Source organism: Homo sapiens, chromosome 14 (genome assembly GCF_000001405.40).
Source record: "Homo sapiens chromosome 14, GRCh38.p14 Primary Assembly".
NCBI lineage: Eukaryota > Metazoa > Chordata > Mammalia > Primates > Hominidae > Homo > Homo sapiens.
The window spans coordinates 22,707,895-22,731,563 of NC_000014.9; the positions used below are offsets into that span (position 1 = coordinate 22,707,895).

Below are 23,669 nucleotides of genomic sequence, written 5' to 3' on the forward strand. Positions count from 1 at the left end.
AACAATATCACAGGTGGATGTATACCTCCTGCGATATGGGGAGTAATATCATTTTCTTCACCCCTGGATATTACGAGCAACATCACAAGGGGTAGCACACTCCCTGCGATATGGAAAGTAATATTATCCTTTCCCCGCCCTGGATATTATGAACAGTATGACAGCGGGATGTACACTTTCTGCGACATGTGAAGTAATATCATCCTATCCCAACCCCGGATATTACGAACAATATCACAGGAGGGTGTACACCCTTTGCGATATGGGGAGTAATATTATCTTCTCCCTCAATGGATATTATGATAATATCATAAATGGGTGTACACATTCTGCGACATGCGGAGTAATATCATCCTCTCCCCCCCTGGATATTATGAACAATACCTACAATAATACTACAAGGTCTACACCTTCTGTGATATAAGGAGAAATATTATTTCACCCTCCTTGAAATACTATGAACAATATCACAGGAAGGTGTACACCCACTGCGATATGAGGAGTAGTATCATCCTCTCTTCCCCTAGATATTACGAACAATATCACAAGGTGGTTTACACCCCCTGTGATATTGGGAGTAATATTATCCTCTTTCCCCTGGATATTAGAAACAATATATCACATGGGGGTGTACACCCCCTGTGATATTGGGAGTACATCTTCTTCTTTTTGGATATAACGAACCATTTGGTGGGTGATGCACACTCCCTGCGATATTGGGAGTAATATTATCCTCTCCTTCCCTGAATATTACGACCAATATCACAGAAGGGTGTACACCCTCTTCGATATTGGGAGTAACATCACCCTCTCCCTTTTTGGATATTACAAACAATATCACAGGGAAGTAATATCATCCACTTCCCTCTTGGATATCACAATGTCACACGGCGGTGTACACTCCCTGTGATATGGGGAGTGATATCATCCTCTCCCCCTATAGATATTATGAACAATATTACAGGAAGGTGTACAACATTCGCTATATGGGGAGTAATACCATCCTCTCTCTCCTGGATATGACGAACAATATCACAGGCCAATGTACACCCCTGCGATATAAGAAGTAATATCATTCTCTCCCTCCCTGGATACTATGAACAATATCACAGCGGGGCATGCACCCCTTGCGATATGGGGAATAATGTCATTCTCTCAACCCCTAAATATTACAAACAATATCACAGGGGAGTGTATATTATCCTCTCCCCCCATGAATATTACAAACATCACAGGAAAAGTGTACACCCTCTGCAATATGGGGAGTAATATTATCCTTTCCCCCATTGAATGTTTTGGAGAATATCACAGGTGGGTGTACACATTTTCCGATATGGGGAGTAATAATGGGGAGTAATATCGTCCTTTCCTTCCCTGGATATTACAAACAATATCACAGGGGGGTGTACACCCTTTGTAATATGGGGTATAATATTATCCTCCCCCCACCCAAATATTATGGACAATATTACAAAGGAGTGTACACCTCCTGCGATATGGGGTATAATATTATCCTCCCCCCACCCAAATATTATGAACAATATTACAAGGGAGTGTACACCTCCTGAGATATGGGGAGTAATATCATCCTCTTTCTCACTGGATATTATGAAAAATATCACACGGGGGTGTACAAGCCCTGCAATATGGGGAGTAATATTATCTTCTCATTCCCTGGATATTACGAACAGTATCACAGAAGGGTGTACACCTCTTGCGATATTGGAAGAAATATAATCCGCTTTTCTTTTGGATATTACGAATAATATCACAGGGGGTTCTATACTTCCTGTAATATCATTTTCTCCCCACCTGGATATTACAAACAATATTACAGAGGGGTATACACCTCCTGCGATACTGGGAGTAATATCATCCTCTCCCTCTCTGGATATTACAAAATATCACGGGAAGGTGTACACCCCTGCGATATAGGGAGTCATGTCATCCTCACCCCCCCAATATTACAAACAATATCACAGGAGGGTGTACACCCTCTGCAATATTGACTGTAATATCATCTTCTCCCCACCTGAATATTATGAACAGTATCACAGAAGGGTGTTAACCCCTTGAGATATGGGAAGTAATATCATCCTCTCCCCTCCTGGGTATTACAAATAATATCACAGGAAGTTCTACAGCTGCTGCGATGTAGAAAGTAATATTATCCTCTCCCTCCCTGGATATTGTGAACAATATCACAGGAGGGTGTACACCCCCTGCAGTATTGAGGTTAATATCATTTTCTTTCCACCTGGTTACTACGAACAATATGACAGAACGGTGTACACCCCCTGCGATATTGGGGGCGATATGCTCCCCCCCCCACCGGGTAATAGCAAAAATATCACAGGTGGGTGTACACCCCCTGCAAAATTGGGAATAATATCATCCTTTCCCCGCCTTGATATTACGAACAATATCCCGAGGGGGTGTACACCCCCTGCGATATTAAGAGTAAGAACATACTCTCACCCCTGGATATCATGAACAATATTACAAAGGGGTGTACACGCCCTGCAGTGTTAAAAGTAATATCATCCTCTTTCCCCCTGGATATTATGAACAATATCACGAGGGGTATACAATCTTTGCGACATTGGGAGTAATATCATTTTCTCCCCCAGTGCATATTACAAACAATATCACAGAAGGATGTACACCCTCTGTGATATTGGGAATACTTTTATGCTCCCCCCTGAAAAACTATAAACAACATCATAGGGGAGTGTATACTCCATGCGATATTGGAAGTAATGCCATCCTCTCCCCCTCTGAATATTATGAACAATATCACAGGAAGGTGTACACTCTGCAATATTGGGAGTAATACCACCCTCTCCTCCCCTGGATATTATCAACAATATCATAGGATGGGGTACACACCCTGTGATATTGGGAGTAATATCATCCTCTGCCACCCTGGATATGACGAACGTTATCACCGAGAATGTACACACAGGGTGTTTACGATATTGCGAGTAATATCAACTCCCCCCTAAATATTACAAACAATATCACAGGGGGGTGTACACCCCCAAAATCCACAGGGGAAGAGAATAATATTACTCCCAATATCGCAGGGGGAGTACAATCCCCCTGTGATATTGTACCTAATATCAAGGAAGAGAGAGGATGATATTACTTCCAGTGTCGCAGGGGGTGTATTGTTCCTAATATCCAAGAGGAGACAGGATAATATTATTCCCAATATCGCAAGAGGTGTGCATCCCCTCTGGGATATTGTTCCTAATATTCAGTGGGGGAGATGATATCACTCCCAATGTTGTAGACAGTGTACACCCCCTTTGTGATATTGTTCCTAATATCCTGGGAAAAAGAGAATGATGTTACTCCCAATATCGCAGAAAGTGTACACGCCCCCTGTGATATTATTCCTAATATTCGGGGGGGAGAGGATTATATTACTCCTAATATCGCAGGGGGTGTACGCCACCACTGTGATGCATTTCCTAATATCCAGGGAAGAAGAGAAGAATATTATTCCCAATGTTGCAGGGGGTGTATACCCACCCCATGATATTGTGCCTAATATCCAGAAGGAAACAAAATGATATTACTCCCAATATCGCAGGGGGTGTACACTTTTCCTGTGATATTCTTCCTAATATCACAAGGGTGAGAAAAGGAAAAGTCCCAATACTGCAGGGGGTGTACACCCCCACCGTGATATTGTTCCTAATATTCATGGGGGGAGAGGATGATATTACTTCCAATATCGCTAGGGGTGTACACCCCCACGTTATATTTCCCGAATATCCAAAGGGGGAGAGGATGATATTACTCCAAATATCGCAGAGGGTGTAGACCCCTTCTGTAACATTGTTGCTAATATCCAAAAAGGGAAGGGATGATATTACTCTCAATATCGCACAGGTCATACACCTCTTCTGTGATACTGTTCGTCATATCCACAGTTGAAAATAATGATATTATGCCCAATTTCACAGGGGGGGTACAACCCCCAGGTGACAATGTTTCTAATATCCAGGTGGAGTGAGGATGATATTACTTCCAATATCGCAGGGGGTGTATGCACCTTCTTTCGTATTGTTCCTAATATCCAAAGTGAGAGAGGATAATATTACACCCAATATCACCGGGGCTGTACACCTCACTTGTGATATTGTTCCCAATATTTAGAGAGAGAGAGAGAGAGGATATTATGCCCAATATTACAGGGGGGTGAACCACTGTTCCTAATATTCAGGGACGCAGAGGATGATATTATTCCCAATGTCGCAGGGGGTGTACACCCCTTCTGTGATATTGTTTCTAATATCCAGGGGAAGAGAGCATAATATTTCTCCCAATATTGCAGGGGGTGTACACCCACCTTGTGCTATTGTTTTTAATATCCAGGACAGAAGAGGATACTATTAGTACAAATATCAGAGGGGGTGTAAAACCAGGGGTAAAGAGAATGATATTACTCCCAACATTGCAGGGAATGTACATTCACCTTGTGATATGGTTTCTCATATCTAGAGAGGGAGAGGATAATATTACTCTCAATATCGAAGGGGGTGTACACCCCTCCTGTGATGTTAATATCCAGGTTAGGGGAGGATAATATTACTCCCAGTAATGCAAGGGGTGTACACCCCTCCTGTGATATTTTTCCTAATATCCAGGGTGGCAGAGGTTGATATTACTTTCAATATTGCAGGGATGTACACATCCCTTGTAGTATTGTTCCTAATATCCAGAAGAAAAAAGATGACATTACTCCCAATATTGCAGCAGTTGTACACCCCCTTTGTGATATTGTTCTTAAAATATAGCAGGGAGAAAATGATATTACTCTCAATATCGCGGAGAGTATACAACTCCCCGTGATATTGTTCCTAATATCCAGGTTCGGAAAGGATGATATTACTTTCAGTATCTCAAGAGGTGTACACCTTGCCTGTGATATTGTTCCTAATTTCCATGGGCGAAGAGGATAATATTACTCGCAATATTGCAGGGAGTGTACAGCCCTCCTGTGATATTGTTCTGAATATCCAGAAAGGAAGAAAATGATATTACTTCCAATAACGCACGGGATGTACACCCCCACCTGTGATATTGTTTCTAATATGCGGAAGTGGAGAGGATTATATTACTCCCAATATCGAGATGTTGTACAACCTTTCTGTGATATTGTTCCTAATATCCAGGGGGGTAAAGGATAATATTACTCCTAAGATCACAGTTGGTATACACCTCTCTGTAAGGCTGTTTCTAATATCCAGGGAAGGAGAGGATGATATTACTCTTTTTTTTTTTTTTTTTTTTTTTGAGGCGGAGTCACGCTCTGTCACCCAGGCTGGAGTGCAGCGGCGCGATCTCGGCTCACTGCAAGCTCCGCCTCCCGGGTTCACGCCATTCTCCCGCCTCAGCCTCCCGAGCAGCTGGAACTACAGGCGCCCTCTACCGCGCCCGGCTAATTTTTGTATTTTTTTTTTTTTTTTTTAGTAGAGACGGGGTTTCACCGTGTTAGGCAGGATAGTCTCGATCTCCTGACCTCGTGATCCGCCCGCCTCGGCCTCCCAAAGTGCTGGGATAACAAGCGTGAGCCACCGCGCCCAGCCGTGATATTACTCTTAACATCGCAGGGGGTGTACACTTCCCCTGTGATATTGTTTCTAAATCCAGAGGGGAAGTGGATGATATTACTCCTAATATCGCACGGCGTGTACACCTTTCCCACCATGATATTGTTCCTAATATCCAGGGCGGGAGAGGATGATATTACTCCCACTATCGCAGGGGTTGCATACCCCCTCTGTGATATTGTTTTTAATATCCAGGGGGCAGAAGATGATATTACTCCCAATATTGCAGAGGGCGTACAAAGCCCCGCCCCGTGATATTCTTCCTAATATCCAGGAGGGGAGAGGATGAAATTACTCTTTATATTGCAGGAGGCATACACATCCGTGTGATAATGTTTTTAGTATCAGTTGGGGAGAAGATGATATTACTTTCAAAATCGTGGGGGTGTACACCCCCCGTTGTGATATCGTTTATAATATCCAGGAGGGGAGAGGATGATATTACTCCCAATATCGCAGGGGGTGTGCACCCTCCCTGTGATTTTATTCCTAATATTCAGGTGGGAAGAGGATGATATTACTCCCAATATCGCAGGTGGGGAAAACACCCCGCCTGTGATATTGTTCTTAATATCCATTAAGGGAGCAGATGATATTACTCCCAAAATTGCAGTGAGTGTACACCCACCCTGTAATATTGTTCCTAATATCCCGGGAGGGAGAGTATGTTGTTACTACCAATTTCGAAGGGGGCGTACACCCCCTCTGTGATACTGTTTTTAATATCCAAGGGGAAAGAGGATTATATTACTCCCAATATCGCAGGGGGTGTGCACTCCTATGTGATATTGTTCCTAATATCTAGCGGGGGTAGGGGATAATATTACTCCAAATATCGCAGGGAATGTACACGTTCTCTGGGATATTGTTTTTAATATTTGAGGATGGAGGATGATATTACTTCCAATATTGCAGGGAGTGTACACCCACCCTCTCATGTTTTTCCTAATATCCAGGGGAAAAACTATTACTCTTAATATCACAGGAGGCGTACACACCCCAGCCCCCGATATTGTTCCTAATACCCGGGGGGGCGGGGAGAAGATAATATTACTCCCAATATCAGAGAAAGTGTACATTCCTTCTGTGACATCGTTTCTAATATCCATGGAAGAAGATTATATTACTTTCAAATTTGCAGATGGTGTACACCCCTCCCCCCCGTGATATAGTTCCTAATATCCAGGAGGAGAGAAGATGATATTACTCTCAATACCTCAATATCGCAGGGAATGTAAACACCCCTGTGATATTGTTCCTACTACCCAGGAGGAGGGGATAAAATTATATTACTCCCAATATCGCAGGCGCTGTACACCCCACTGTAATATTTTTCCTAATATCCAGAGCGAGAGAGGATATTATTACTCCCAGTATGGCGGAAGGCGTACACCTTCCCTGTGATACTGTTCCTAATATCCAGGGGGAAAGAGTATGATATTACTCCCAATATTGTAGGAGGTGTACACACCCCAGTGATATTTTTCTCTAATATGCAGAAGGGGAGAGGGTGATATTACTCTCAATTTCGCAGGTGCTGTACACCCCCTGTGATATTGCTCGTAATTTCCAAAGAGGGAGATGATATTACTCCCAATAACATAAACACACTGTGTTGACAACTCCCTGCCATGTGGCTCGTAATGTGGGAGAAGGGGGTGACATTACCCCCATATGGTGGGGGTGGACACCCTCCCACCGTGTGGCTCATAACCTCCAGGGCAAATGGGGGGAGTGATATTACTCCCCATATGGTGGGGGTGGACACCCCCCTGCCATGTGGCTCATAACCTCCAGGGGGGTAGAGGGGGGTGATATCACTTCCCATATGGTGGGGGTGGACACCCTCCCACCATGTGGCTCATAACCTCCAGGAGGGTAGATGGGCGTGATATCACTTCCCATGATGTGGGGGTGGACACCCTCCCACCATGTGGCTCGTAACCTCCAGGGCGAATGGGGGGAGTGATATTACTCCCCATATGGTGGGGATGGACTCCCCTTGCCATGTGGCTCGTAATATCCAGGGGGGAAGAAGGGGGTGATATTACTCCCCATATGGTGGAGGTGGACTCCCTCCCGCCATGTGGCTCGTAACCTCCAGGGTGAATGGGGTCAGTGATATTACTCCCCATATGGTGGGGGTGGACACCCCCCTGCCATGTGGCTCGTAACCTCCAGGTGGGGAGAGGGGGGTGATATTACTTTCCATATGGCAGGAGGTGGACATTATCATTATTAATTCATTTTTATATTATTATTAAGACTAATAAACATATTAAAGCAATGACTCAACAAATCTAGCTTTATATTATTTCACTTACCACTTCTATTTTTCCAAAACAACTTTTTAATTAAAATTATAAAATTAAATTAATAAAAAATATTGAATTAAATTATTTAATTAAATTAATAAAAAATTAATAGAAATTTTTTAAATTTTGTAGTTGCCTTTTTGAGAGTTTTTTTAGAATAGTTTTCTCTTTGGAGAATATAAAGTACACAGAATTTTCATACTCATAGTTTCTATCTTCTTATCATTCTTGTTTATATTATGCAATAATTTACCATGTAGATCTTCACTGCCTCTGTAAAGTATTGTTTGCATAATTCCATTGAGTTTTTCTGCTCAGCAATTATGTTTTTAAGCTATGATTTTTCTCACTTTTCTCAGTATTTTTTCTATAATTTCTAAATTAATTTTATATAATTTATATTAGTGCAATTATCGTTCAAATCACATTTTAAAATGTAAACATTAGGAAAGATTTTTCACAGCTTTGGGTTAGTTCTTTTCAGAGAAAGGTATTTGTTAAGATTTCACATATTAGGCTCTCTCTTTAAATTCCCAAATCAACCCACTTTCTCTGTTAGAAAAGGGTCTACAATTGCAAAGAATTTGGAAGTGATGTGGTTTTTGTCCGTCTTAATCTTGCACAAGCAACAGAAAATATTGAATGATTTTTCATCTGTCTATGGATTTCGTAGTCTGCACTGAGTAAGACAGGACATACATAGGCAGGGCGAATACTTGAAAAATATTTTGTCTTGCAAGCACTATAGAAAGTCAAACTAAATAATGCAAAAATCCATCTCTAATTGTCTTTAAAGGAAGCATCCTTGGTAAGGCTGAAGATTTACTCAGAATCTTGTTTACAGTAAGTGCAAACTGTAAGTGCTACATATAGTAGAATTCAGCCTATCCAAATGAATGCTTGGAACAATTGTTATAAATTCAGATGCAACAGATTTAAACACATATACCTTAATATCCAACTTCTCAAGCCCTGTTCTGAAGGACATGAGCTTCTGTCATTATCTTAACAAATAGCAGAAAAACAACTTTATCAATGTTAAGAAAAGATACTCTGGGTGACTTTACTCTGAGTTGAAAGGCCCTCCTTCTAAGGAATTAGTGTTCTGGAGTAAAACTTGGATTTCAAAAACCTAAATTCTAGCAGCACACACCACCCTCCCCCCTCAACTCTGCCACACACACACCCTTAGCTTGAGTTGGCATTTTATCTAAGGTACACTATGAGCAATCATTAGTTATGCCCTTGCATTTTATCCTTACCTTCAAAACTCATTTTTAGGCAGGTTTCTTATTCTCCTCACTGGATTGTTTCATATCTCACTTTGGTTTCCTTTACATCCGGTTTCTTGAAATGTCAATATTTAGATGATATTCTCTGGCTTCTGCTGAAATAGATAATTTTTCCTATTGAATTTATTTGATCATTTACATGGATTTTAAGTATATAACCTCAAATTTTTATTTTTAACCGAATATACTTTAATAATATGCATGGGTCATTTTATAAAATGTTTTTTAGCAATAATTATATTTCAGAAATATATTTTTTATTTAGAAATTTCACTTTCTGTGAACTGCCATATTTTCCCATGAAAGTAATGATTTTTCACGTTTAGCAATTCCTTGCATAAGGTAGGTTGTGCTTGCCTAATTTTGGCATGCATTCAAGAATGGATAAATCAAGACTGGCTACAACAAATGTTAGTGAGGATGTGGAATGACCTCCTATATTGATAATGAAAAGGTAAAGTGGTATAATGAAATTTGAAAAACTTTTTGCAATTTCTTATAAAATTAAACATGCATCTATTCTACAACCACACAATTCTATTCCTAGTTACTTTTCCAAGGAAAATTAAGATGTATGCCTACAAAAGACTTATAAAAATATGTTCACAGCAACTTCATTTACAACAGAAAAACTGAAAATAACCCAGAATTCAATCAGCAGTACGTACACACATTTTAGTATATTTGTTTAATAGAATACCACTTAATGATAAAAAAAAAAAGAAACACACAACATGGATGAATTTCAAAAACATTCTAAGGAGAAGAAAAAGCTGGGCACAAAATAATACATACTGTGTAATTCCAAATATATGAAGTTCTAGAACAGATAAGTGGTTGTTCTGTGCAGGAAGAGGCAGTAAGAAACTTTTGGGTGTAATAAACATGCTTTTATCTTGAAAAGGGTGGGGCTTATACTTGTGTATGCATTTGTGAAATGTATTAAGTTGTAAACCTAAGATTGGTCCATTTCACTGTATGTAAATGTAAGTTTAAAAAAAGCAAATAAGTGATAAGTTTGATGTTTTGAAATAAACATTAAACTCCATTGAGTTGGTTTTCTTTTATAGATTAGTCCATTGTCATGCTGCTATGGAGAAACACCCGAGACTGGGTAATTTATGAAGAAAAGAGGTTTAATTGACTCATGGTTCTGGATGGCTGGGGAAGCCTCAGGAAACTTACAGTCATGGTGGTGGAAGGCACCTCTTCACAGGGTGGCAGGAGAGAGAAATGCCAGGCAAAGCGGGGGAAAGCCCCTTATAAAACCATCAGATCTGAGGAGAACTCACTCACTATCATGAGAACAGCATAGGGATAATCGTCGCCATAATTTGATTATCTCCCAAAACACATGGGAATTATGGAAACTACAATTCAAGATGAGATTTGGGTGTGGACACAGCCAAACCATATCAAGTGGTATCTTTTAAAATTCTGAAACTATTTTTTATCAACTTAAGCAAATAAATTATCTTTTGAGAATTACAGGAACCAGATTTCTCACAGTTCGAACACAATGTTACCAATGGAAAGGCAGAAGACTAGAATGTACCCTGTGGTGTTTTGTTTTGTTTTTTTTTGACATCAGAAATGATGTATCAATATGCAATCATGGTTTCAACATATGTAAACTATGTGTCTATATCGTAGCTTTCTGCAGAAAGAGTCTAGAAATAATAACACACAAGTACCACTAAACTTATCTACTATTTGATTATTAAATGCCACGTTTCATTAATACGAACAAGAATTCCTTAAAGAAATTGCTGATCTCAGAGTTGGAAGTGAGAGCAAGTAGAAGATGGGCCTGAAGTAACTTTTTGCATCAGAAAATAAGAACGTGCTAGGTCTTAGTCTGTTCAGGCTGCTATAACAAAATACCGTGGACTGGGTGTAACAACAGACACTTATTTCTTCTACTTCTGGAGGTGAAGAAGTCCAAGTTAGAGGTGCCATCCAATTTGGATCTTGGTGAGGGTCCATTTCCGTCTCTTTCCTCTCTGGTGTCTTCAGTGATGGAGAGAGAGAGAGTTCTAGTTTGTCTTCCACTTCCAGTAAGGACACTAATCACATCATGAGGCCCTACCTCATGACCCAAACCAAATTACCTTCCAAATGCCCCTGGCTCCAAATGGCATACCCCTGGGAGTTAAAACTTTAACATATAAATTTGGGGGTGAGGACACAAACTTTCAGTTCTTAATAACATGACAAAAAATTGTTATAGTGATAAGCAGGAAGGAAAGGGATACAAAGTACATAATCTATGAGCATAGCTATATAAACTAATAAACAATAAATAAAAATTTAAAAATACAACAGAAGTACATCGAAATCAGGCCTGGAGCAGTGGCTCACACTTGTAATCCTAGCACTTTGGGAGGCTGAGGCTGGAGGACAGCTTGAGCCCAGGAGTTTGAGACCAGTCTGGGCAACATGGTAAAACCCTGTCTCTAAAAAAAAAAAAAAAAAAGAATCAGCCAGGAGTGGTGGTGCATGCCTGTAGTCCCAGCTACTTGGGAGGTGAAGGTGGGAAGATCAATTGAGCCCAGGAGGTTGAGACTGCAGTGAGCTAGGATTACACCACTGCACTCCAGCCTGGGTGACAGAGTGACATACTATCTCAAAAAAAAAAAAAAGTACATCAAAAATAATTTTTTGTTTTGTTTTTATTTTTGTTTGTTTGTTTGGAGATGGAGTCTTGCTCTGTTGCCCAGGCTGGAGTGCAGTGACACAATCTCAGCTCACTGCAACCTCCTCCTCCGGGTTCAAGTGATTCTCATGCCTCAGCCTCCCGAGTAGCTGGGATTGGAGGATTTATTGTTCAATGGGTATAGAGTTTCAGTTTGGTCTCGAATTTTTTTTTCAAGACCTTGGCCTCCCAAAGTGTTGGGACTGCAGGTGTCCGGCCAGTAGTACAAAAATTTTAAAGACGCTGAGTAACTGTGAGCAAAATTATGAGATTTTTACTCTGTTTGCCAGTCTTCATAGTCCCTGCCACACCTAATTCAACATTTTGTTGTTGTTGTTGTTGTTGCCTGTCTTTATGGAACCTATTTAAAGAAATCAACTTGATTTTTACACTTGTATTTCATTGGTTTATTTTTAGTTAGTTAAAATACGTAATTACAATAACTAGTCCATTTATGAAAGGAGGAGTTTGGAAACAACTGATTCTTGGTATAAGTCAACTGGTGGAACAAAAGTGTGTGTGTACAGAAGCCTACTAGCTGCAAAGGCTCAGCATGCTGTGGACATCAATCATTTGGGAGCACACAGATGGAGAACAGAGCTATTGGAAGCATACTATTTGCATTCATATCCCAGCTCAGCTACCTTTTAGCCATTTAATCTTGAACAAGAAAGATTTCTCTGTATCTCAGTTATACACATGGCAATATAGTATCTACCTTATAAAATCCTTATAAACATTAAATAGGTAAATATTTTGTTAGAATGCTGAACACAGGGCTTGGTACAGAGTAAGTACCATGTTAAGTGAAGGTATTATCTTTTAGAGAAGGAATCAGTTGAATAAATAAAGCTGAATTAAGAGATCTCAGCCAGGCACAGTGGCTCACGCCTGTAATCCCAACACTTTGGGAAGCCAAGGCAGGCGGACCAAAAGGTCAAGAGATTGAGACCATCCTGGCCAACATGGTGAAACCCCGTCTCTACTAAAAATACAAAAATTAGCTGGGCGTTGTGGCATACACCTGTAGTCCCAGCTACTTGGGAGGCTGAGGCAGGAGAATCGCTTGAACATGGGAGGCGGAGGTTGCAGCAAGCCGAGATTACGCCACTGCACTCCAGCCTGGGTGACAAAGAGAGACTCCATCTCAAAAAAAAGAAAAAAGAGAGAGAGAGATCTATCTTAGGGAAAAAATAAGTTAGATACTTCATATTTTAAACTGAAATTAATTCAAAATGAATTAAACAGATAAACATAAAACATGAACGAGAAGAAAAGTTTAGGTAGAAAATTATCTTATTTAAGGTGTGTAGAGTTGTTTTAATGGAAAAAATATGAAAAAATAAATGTAAATTTGGCTATGTAAAGTTTTTAAAGTTCTTTAAGTCAGAGAAAAATAATGTAATGGCCATATGCAGTTTCTACCTGCCTAGCATCCATTACCCATTCTTACCCTAATAGGATCCTGATTTTTCTCAAGAAAGCCCCTTTCCATTCTCAGTCTATGTAGCCCAGGTGGCACTGACTTCATTCTCAATGAATCAGAGCACGACCATGGTTATTGGCTTAGGGATGGCCTCACAACCATCTAATCAGGCCAATGAGACGAAATGAGTCAATTCAGAGACACTTATGAGAACTGATGGGAGAGAGGCTCTCTCTCTCTCTGAACTTGAAACTGGGAGAATGTAGACCTGAAAAAAGTAAAAACCACTTTCCAAATCATTTTAAGAGGCTAACAAAACCTTGATATCAAAACTGAAAAGGACATGACAGTAAAGAAAAATTACAAACGAATCTTTCTCACAAACATAGCTACAAAAATCCTAAATATCAGCATACTGAATGAAATGATACACAAAAAAAATAATGCATCTTGCAGGCATGGTGGCTCACGCCTGTAATCCCAGCACTATGGGAGGCTGAGGCAGGTGGATCATGAGGTCAGGAGATCGAGACCATCCTGGCCAACATGGTGAAACCCTGTCTCTACTACAAATACAAAAATTAGCTGGGCATGGTGACATGCACCTGTAGTCCCAGCTACTCGGGAGGCTGAGGCAGGAGAATTGCTTGAACCTGGGAGTTGGAGGTTGCAGTGAGCCAAGACTGTGCCACTGCAGTCCAGCCTGGTGAGAGAGTGAGACTCCATCTCAAAAAAAAAAAAATAGTTCTTTGCTGGTGCAGTGGTTTGCACCTGTAGTCCTAGCTACTAGGGAGGCTGAGGCAGCATGATCACTTGAGTCCAGGAGTCCAAGGCTGTATTTCACTAAGATCTAGCCTGTGAATAGCCACTTCTCTCCAGCCTGGGAAATAGAGCAAGACCCCATCTCTAAAAATAAAAATAAAAAAAAGAAATAACTCTTTATCACACTCTTAAGTTAAAGAAATATTTGTAATCTATTAAAGAGCAACTATAGAAACCTATAGCAAACATCATACTTTGTCGTAAAATGTTGAAAGATTACCTTCTGAGATCAGGAATAAATCACCATGCTATCACCCACTTCTACTGTACTACAGTTGCTATCCAATGCATTATAGCAAGAAAAAGAAATTAAAGGACTAAGTATTGAGAATGGAAGAAATAATGCTATTATTATCACCACTGATATGCTCTTGGAATTAATAATTTCAATTGATACAAGTTCAGTCCACAAAAAAAAGCTTTGTTTTATATATCAGCAAAAAATAGTTAGAAAATTAAAATGTTTATTTGTTAGTCCATTCTCATACTGCTATAAAGAAATTCCAGAGACTGGGTAATTTATAAAGAAAATAGGTTTAATTGGCTCACAGTTCCACAAGCTGTACAGGAAGCATGGCAGCATCTGCTTCTAGGAAGGCCTCAGGGAGCTTTGATTCATGGTGGAAGGCAAAGGAGGAGCAGGCATCTTGCATGGCAGGAGCAGGACCGAGGGCAGGGGGAGGTGCCACACACTTTCAAACAATCAGATCTCATGAGAACTCACTATTGTGATGACAGCACCAAGGGAGATGGTGTTAAACCGTGAGAAACTGCCCCCATGATCCAATCACCTCCTATCAGGCCCCACCTCCAACACTGGAGACTACAATTGAACATGAGATTTGGGCAGGGACATATCCAAACTATGTCAGTTTAGGAGCTAAGTGCAGTGGCTCACACCTGTAATTCCAGCTACTCAAGAGGATGAGGAAGGCTGAGCATGGTGGCTCACGCCTGTAATCCCAGCACTTTGGGAGGCCGAGGCAGGTGGATTGTGAGGTCAAGAAATTGAGACCATCCTGGCCAACATGGTGAAACCCCGTCTCTATCAAAAATATTAAAAAATTAGCCAGGTGTGGTGGCATATACCTGTAATCCCAGCTACTTGGGAGGCTGAGGCAGGAGAATTGCTTGAACCTGGGAGGCAGAGGTTGCAGTGAGCCGAGATTGTGTTACTGCACTCTAGCGTGGGTGACAGAGCGATACTCCCTCTCAAAAAAAAAAAAAAAAAAGAGGATGAGGAATGAGGATCACTTAGGGCCAGGAGTTTGAGACCAGCCTGAGCAACATAGCAGGAACCTGTCTCTAAAACAATTTTTAAAAATTAGCCAGCAGTGGGGACAATCAGTGACAGCAGGTGGTCTCTAAGCCCAGTTGCCGCCTAATCTTTCCCTAACTTTGGGTGCTACCTTTAGAGGGGACAATTGTGGGCAGAGAAGCTGCATCTAGATGGCTGTGAGAGGCAGGAGGGGTTCCTGGGGGCTCAGCTGGCTCTGCAGGGGAACAGGGGATAGGAGTCAGGATTGTCCAGGAGGGTGGCCAGTAAGGTAAGAGGTTACCTTACTGAGAGGTTACCAGAATAGGGCTCCTACCTGAGCTCCACACCTGCAGGGCCCCAGGCAGGACCTCCCTAGTGGTAGCTTCCACAGCTACAGGGCAAGTGAAGCAGGAGGGGCAGAGCTGATCTTGCTTGTCTGAAGGGCTTGAAGCCAGCACCCCTGGGCACGGGCTGTGAAACCAAGGAGCAGCCTGTGGAACCCCCATCATCCACCCTCTACAGAGGGCTCATAGAAAAAATTGTAATGTTCCTCCCAGCTTCTCCCTCTATCCACTTTTGAACAGAGTAGATTGCCTTGCTAGGCCCAGAGCCAACTTTGACAAGAAGCGGTCAGGCTGAATCTTCAACCCATAGCAGAGCAAGGTCCCCCTGGCCACCCAGAAATTCAGCACTCTGGACAACACAAAGAGGAAGCATTTACTGGCACCTTTTCCTCCACCCATTTCTGTACTAATAGAAATTTCTGTGAGGATGGAAATGTTCTATGTCTGCATGATCCAATGTGGTAGCCCCTAGTCACATGTGACTGTTGGGTACCTCAAGTGTGGCTAGTGCAACTGAGGAAATGAAATTTTAACTTTATTTAATTGTAATGTCTTTTCCTAAATGACAAAGATTTGTTTTTATGTTATGGGTGCTGTGAATCATTACAAGATCACATTTCTCTCTGTGCTGGCTGCTAGGAAGCTTGTCAGTTTTGGATCCTATGGTTGCAAGAGTATATAGCCTCATGGCATGCGCCTTTAATATAACCTCATTCTCAGCTTCCTTTTATTTTTACTTTTTCCCATTGCCCTGCTTAATTTTTTATCTTGTCAATGTGGTAAGCCTTGAATCCTTTGTGCTGGGATAACAGGTGTGAGCCACCACGCCTCCTGGCCCTAGAATGAAATTTTTAACTCAAAACTAAACTATAAGCTATTTATAGGAGGTAAAAGGATGAAAAAATATATACTAGAAAAACGTTAACTAAAAAAATCGGCATACGTTTATTAATATTAGGTAAAATAGACTTTAAAGCCAAAAATAGCATTATGAAGATGAGGAGGATCATTGCTTGAAGGGGTGGGTTGCCCCTCCACACCTGTGGGTGTTTCTCGTTAGGTGGAACGAGAGACTTGGAAAAGAAAAAGACACAGAGACAAAGTATAGAGAAAGAAATAAGGGGACCCAGGGAACCAGCGTTCAGCATATGGAGGATCCCGCCAGCCTCTGAGTTCCCTTAGTATTTATTGATCATTAGTGGGTGTTTCTCCGAGAGGGGGATGTGTCACAGTCACAAGACAATAGTGGGGAGAGGGTCAGCAGACAAACACGTGAACAAAGGTCTTTGCATCATAGACAAGGTAAAGAATCAAGTGCTGTGCTTTTAGATATGCATACATATAAATATCTCAATGCTTTACAAAGCAGTATTGCTGCCCGCATGTCCCACCTCCAGCCCTAAGGCGGCTTTTCCCTATCTCAGTAGATGGAACGTACAATCGGGTTTTATACCGAGACATTCCATTGCCCAGGGACCAGCAGGAGACAGATGCCTTCCTCTTGTCTCAACTGCAAGAGGCATGCCTTCCTCTTATACTAATCCTCCTCAGCACAGACCCTTTATGGGTGTCGGGCTGGGGGACGATCAGGTCTTTCCCTTCCCATGAGGCCATATTTCAGACTATCACATGGGGAGAAACCTTGGACAATACCTGGCTTTCCTAGGCAGCGGTCCCTGCGGCCTTCCACAGTGTTTGTGTCCCTGGGTACTTGAGATTAGGGAGTGGTGATGACTCTTAACCAGCATGCTGCCTTCAAGCATCTGTTTAACAAAGCGCATCTTGCACCGCCCTTAATCCATTTAACCCTGAGGTGACACAGCACATGTTTCAGAGAGCACGGGGTTGGGGGTAAGGTCATAGATTAACAGAACCTCAAGGCAGAAGAATTTTTCTTAGTACAGAACAAAATGGAGTCTCCTATGTCTACTTCTTTCTACACAGACACAGCAACAATCTGATCTCTCTTGCTTTTCCCCACATTGCTTAATGACATAAAGTTCCAGCACTGAATAACATAGCTGCAAAAAATATAAAGCAAGGATTAACATGATGAAAAGGAAATATTTCTAAAACCATCATCATAGTAGAATATTTCACACAATTATTTTAGTTATTGATAGTTGAGGCAGATAAAAAAATAAATCTTTTGTGATCAAGACAAGGTATAGAGAGTGATCAAACACACAGACCTATACCTCTGCCACTTTTTGCTCATGCCCTTGGGCCCTGACTGGACCCACAAGCAATTCACCCTGGTCAGCTGTGGTCTCTGCCCTTCCTCGGAGAGTTAGCTGCTCATTATCCCAGTCCACAGAGGCTGCTGTCAGCTGGTAGAGTACTTGGTCCCAAGCAGCTTCTCTTATAGGAGCTGATGCAGGCTGTGAGCCATCTCCACTCCCCCACGGTGTCTCCAGCACAACATCCTCCTCCCAACACATGGGCTGCTCCCCACACAGGACCCACATCACCACATGGCAGTGTGGAGCCTGGGGAGGCAGTGGCACTGCTGGAGGGGCTGACTCCCCATTGGGAGTCACAGCCATGAATAAGAGGAGTGGTTCCATCAGCATCTCCCAGTCCATGGGGGTTGAGGGGAGCAGGTTTCCTGTTGGGGAAGACAGCAGGGGCATGGGCAGTGTAGTACTCTGGACTTCACCTCCCCAGGGCCTCCTTGGTGTCAGGGAAACCAGCTCCCCATTCAAACCTTACTTGAATCATCCAGGCCCTGTTCCAATTGTTGGCCTGGCTCAAGGTCTGGCCCATCTGCTGCTGAGCCCAGAGAGGGGTGCCGGGGTTAGCTGGGGACTGGGTTCGCCTGGCCTGGAGGGTATGAGAGGCTTCAGCCAGCCAGAGCCACTCTGTGCCGACAGTCCAGCATCTCAGTACTCAAAGCCCCCACATGCTTGTGAGATAGGGTTGGGGGGGTCAATGATTAAGGAATGCAGAGCCCTTGACAATCATACACGCATGCGCAGCTGGCCCATGCCCCTTGTCTGAAACCTTGGCTGCCTGCTCACCACCTTGAGCAAGAAGGCCAAGTTCCTTATGGCCTACAATGACCTCTCTGGCCCTGGGCCCCTCCCAGCGTCATCCCACTCCACTCCCTATTCCCACTTGTAGTTGTTGCTTGTCTCTGTGTTTTCATTAATGTCTTCTCACTCTGCAGGGCTGCCTCCTGCTTATTCTTCCAGATATGGCTCTTACTTTCCTGACTACCTCAGGCAGAGTTAATCACCCTAACTCTAATCACCCATAATACATGTCCTTGTGCTCATCACTGGTTGTTTCATGGTATTATCATTATAGATTTACCCACTTATCTCTCTAGCTAAACTTAATAGTAAACTCTGCATAATGTCTGGCACACAACAGGTGGTAAATAAATATTTGCTGGATACAAGTCTCCCCAGTAGCTGGGATTACAGGCGTGTGCCACCACGTCTGGCTAATTTTTATATTTTTAGTAGAGATGGGGTTTCACTGTGTTGGTCAGGCTGGTCTCAGACTCCTGACCTCGTGACCTGCTTGCCTCGGCCTCCCAAAGTCCGGGGATTACAGGTGTGAGCCACCGCGCCTGGCCTGTTTGGTTCTTTATTCTTGGGAACTGAAGGTCCCTGTCTGTTACAGTGTAACCACCCAATGGGTTCAGCTTGCCTGCTGCCTCAACAGAGCCGATTTATCAAGAGAGGAACTGCAATAGAGAAAGAGTAATTTACACAGAGCCAGCTGTGCAGGAGACTGGAGTTCTATTATTACTCACATCAGTCTCTCTGGGAGCAGATTTTTTAAGGACAACTTCGTGGATGGAGGGAAGCCAGTGAGCCAGGAGTGCTAATTGGCCAGGTAGGAGATGCAATCATAGTGAATTGAAGCTGTCCTCTTGCATTGAGTCAGTTCCTGGGTGGGGGCCACATGAGACTGCCAGATGAGCCAGTTAATCAATCTGGATGGTGCCAGTTGATCTGTCAAGTGCAGGGTCTGCAAAATATCTCAAGCACTGATCTTAGGAGCATTTTGGGAGGTCAGAATCTTGTAGCCTCTAGCTGCATGACTCCTAAGCCATAATTTCTAATCTTGTGACTAATTTGTTAGTCCTACAAAGGCAGTCTAGTCTCCAGGCAAGAAGGATGATTGTTTTGGAAACGGGCTGTTATTGTCTTTGTTTTAAACGATAAACTAAGGCCAGTCCCGGTGGCTCACACCTGTAATCCCACCACTTTGTGGGGAGGAGGCAGGCGCATCATGAGGTCAGGAGTTCGAGACCAGCCTGGCCAATATGGTGAAACCCCGTCTCTATTAAAAATACAAAAATTAGCCGGGCGTGGTGGTGGGTTCCTGTAGTCCCAGCTATTCAGAAGGCTGAGGCAGAAGAACTGCTTGAACTCGGGAGGCAGAGGTTGCAGTGAGCCGAGATCACACCACTGCACTCCAGCCTGGGCGACAGAGCGAGACTCTGTCTCAAAACAAACAAACAAACAAACAAACAAAAAACTATAAACTAAGTTACTCTCAAAGTTAGTTCAGCATACCCCCAGGAATGAACAAGGACAGCTTTGAGGTTAAAAGCAAGATGGAGCTGGCTAGGTCAAATCTCTTTCATTATCTCAGTTACAATTTTGCAATGGCAGGTTTCTACAATAGGTGGCTAGTCAGGCATGAGCAGGGCAGGAGAGAGTTTCCCCCACCCACCAGAAATGTCAGGCCACCATCAGATTATGGTCTGACAGCTGTCACACTAAAATGATAATTGGTCACAGCACCAGGGAGAGGCAATTTCCCAACAGATAAAAATGCGGCTGGGCGCGGTGGCTCGTGCCTATAATCCCAGCACTTTAGGAAGCCAAGGTGGGTGGATTGCCTGAGGTCAGGAGTTCGAAACCAGCCTGGCCAACATGGTGAAACCTTGTCTCTACCAAAAATAGAAAAATTAGCCAGGCATGGTGGCTCACACCTGTAATCCCAGCACTTTGGGAAGCTGAGGCGGGTGGATCACTTGAGGTCAGAAGTTCGAGACCAGCCTGGCCAACATGGTGAAACCCTGTCTCTACTAAAAATAGAAAAATTAGCTGGGTGTGGTGGCACGTGCCTGTGATCCCAGCTACTCAGGAGGCTGAAGCAGGAGAATCACTTGAACCCACGAGGCAGAGGTTGCCGTGAGCCGAGATCATGCCATTGCACTCCAGCCTGGGCGACAGAGCAAGACTCCATCTCAAAAAAAAAAGAAAAAAAATTCAAAAATTAGCTGAGCGTGGTGGCAGACACCTGTAATCCCAGCTACTCAGGAGGCTGAGGCAGGAGAATGGCTTGAATCCGGGAGGTGGAGGTTGCAGTGAGCCAAGCCAAGATCACACCACTGCACTCCAGCCTGGGCGATGGAGTGAGGCTCCATCTAAAAAAACAAAACAAACCAAAAAACACTTGAAATCAGCAGCTTCCAATAAAATCTCAGGTAGTGAGTGAGTGGGCATGAGCATGCACAGTAAAACCCATTAATGCCTAGTGTTCCATTATTGGAACTCTAAGCATGTGGGAGTTATTTATATCCTACTGCTCAATGTCATCACGAAGGTCTGATTGCAAAAATTCAAAAAATTGCAACCTCAGGCATACATGGGTTAAGAGACAAAATGGCAGAGTATGACCTTCCAGGGGCATTCCACCAGAAAAGGGAAGAAAGTCTCAGGTGAGCATGCCTACAGCTTCTTTTTGTTTTGTTTTTTGTTTGTTGTTTTTTTGTTTTGTTTTGTTTTTGAGAGGGAGTCTTACCCTGTTGTCCAGGCTGGAGTGCAGTGGTGCAATCTCGGCTCATTGCAACCTCCACCTCCCAGGTTCAAGCGATTCTCCTGCCTCAGCCTCCCCAGTAGCTGGGACTACAGGCGTGCGCCACCATGCCCAGCTAACTTTTGTATTTTTAGTAGAGACAGGGTTTCACTATGTTGGCCAGGCTGGTCTCGAACTCCTGACCTCATGATCCACCCACCTTGGCCTCCCAAAGTCCTGGGATTACAGGCATGAGCCACCATACCCGGCCTAGAACTTTTTTTTTTTTTAGATGGAGTTTCGCTTTTTTTGCCCAGCCTGGAATGCAACAGTGCAATCTTGGCTCACTGCAACCTCCACCTCCCGGGTTCAAGTAATTCTCCTACCTCGGCCCCAGTAGCTGGGATTACAGGCCCCCACCACCACGCCCAGCTAATTTTGTATTTTTAGTAGAGATGGGGTTTCACCCTGTTGGCCAGGCTGGTCTCGAACTCCTAACCTCAGGTGATCCACCCACCTCGGCCTCCCAAAGTGCTGGGATTACAGGTGTGAGCCACCGCACCTGGCCTACAACTTCTTAAATACACTGGCCATGCTTACTTCTCAAGCACAAGGAAAGCACCATGCATATGGGCAGGTCACCCCAAGGGAAGAATCAGGAGAAAAGGGCCACAAGACCCCAGAAGTATGCCAACATATAAAATCCCAAGTCAAAAGGTCAAACACCACACTTGACCTCCACGGTCCCCTCTTGGGTCTTTTCCAAGTGTACTGTCTTTTCTTTCCTGCTCTAAAGCTTTTTAATAAACTTCCACTCCTGCTCTGAAACTTGCCGTGGTCTCTTTTTTCTGCTTATGCCCCTCAGTCAAATTCTTTCTTCTGAGGAGGCAAGAATTGAAGTTGCTGCAGACCCATATGGATTCACTGTCGGTAACTCAGATATTTGCCGCCCCTAATAGGCTGAGGCCACTCTTTGGTGGGATCCTGAAGCCCTAGAGAAGGGATACCTGTCCGTCATTGCCCAGAGGGGTGAGGGAATAGCCAGGGTTCTTTTCTATTTTCAGACTGCCAGTGAACCAGCTTGAGTACGCTTTGGCAATTGAGGGTGTCTGACCGAGGGCACTCCCTGGTGTTACCTAAAGCCAAGACAAAAGAGTGAATTTGCTATTGCTCATCAGGGTGGCAAGCCCACTTTTACTTTAACACTCTGTAAATTGTGCCTTGGAAACAAGCAGCAACGATTTCAACTCAACTCTGCGCAGACACATGCTACTAGTTGCAGACCTAATTTTGGATTCAATTTCATCACAAGCACTGCATCCCAAGTTATGGGTGAGTTCTCCTTCACATTAGGTTGGAGCTGACCACTCAAACAAGGGCATGCCTGGACTGGTCCTCCAGGCAAGGGCAGGCCCTCTATCCGTGGTGGGATGCCCCCAAGTAGAGTGAGCCAAAGGGAAAAGGAAGGTCCAAATCCCTCAGGGATGCCTCGGGGATCTTCTAGTCCCTTATCTAAACCCAACACGGGTGCAATTCATTCTTCAATTCATTCCAATTCACCCTTGGGTTGCATTCTTAAAAATTCATCCCATTTTAACCCACAAACTCTCAAAAAGAAGTGTGTAATTTTCTTTTGTATTTAGAGGTCCCATATGTTCAGGTCTTTTTGGCTTTATCCCAAAACCCAAAATTACATAAAAATTGTCACACATGCTTCCAAGGAACTTCCTCTCTCCCCAATTCTTTTTTTTTTTTTTTTTTGAGACCGAGTCTGGAGTGCAGTGGCACAATCTCGGCTCACTGCAACCTCTGCCTCCCACTCTCTCACCAATTCTGATGTCGTAGATGATCTTTCCTTTTGCCTGTCACACTCTCCTCAGCCTGCACCTGCTTCACCTATACCCTCTCCATTTGCTCCATCCCCGAGTCAACGCCCCTCCATATCCAGACACTTCATCCCCCTCACATACTCTCATGGGAGTCACATATGCCACTAGTACAGAGTCCTCAGAATATCCCAATAATGTTTTGCCTTTCCATGAGGTGACAAATGGAAACTTGGGAACAATTCAAGTCATGTCCCTTTCACAAATTTAATCCAAGTTGGGTTCATTTAGCCAGGATCCCTTT

At 43.1% G+C, this 23,669-nt stretch overlaps 1 long non-coding RNA gene and 1 pseudogene across 1 annotated transcript in view; both read right to left on the reverse strand.

The window, feature by feature from the left end:
* Positions 1-23,669, reverse strand: part of OXA1L-DT (OXA1L divergent transcript) — a 62,343-nt gene that overhangs the window by 3,675 nt on the left and 34,999 nt on the right. Inside the window, exon 2 of the long non-coding RNA XR_001750638.3 lies at positions 9,202-9,326. This is a non-coding gene — a long non-coding RNA (OXA1L divergent transcript). The remainder of the gene's footprint in view (positions 1-9,201; positions 9,327-23,669) is intronic.
* Positions 15,582-18,789, reverse strand: LOC100421646 (von Willebrand factor A domain containing 5B2 pseudogene; annotated as a pseudogene).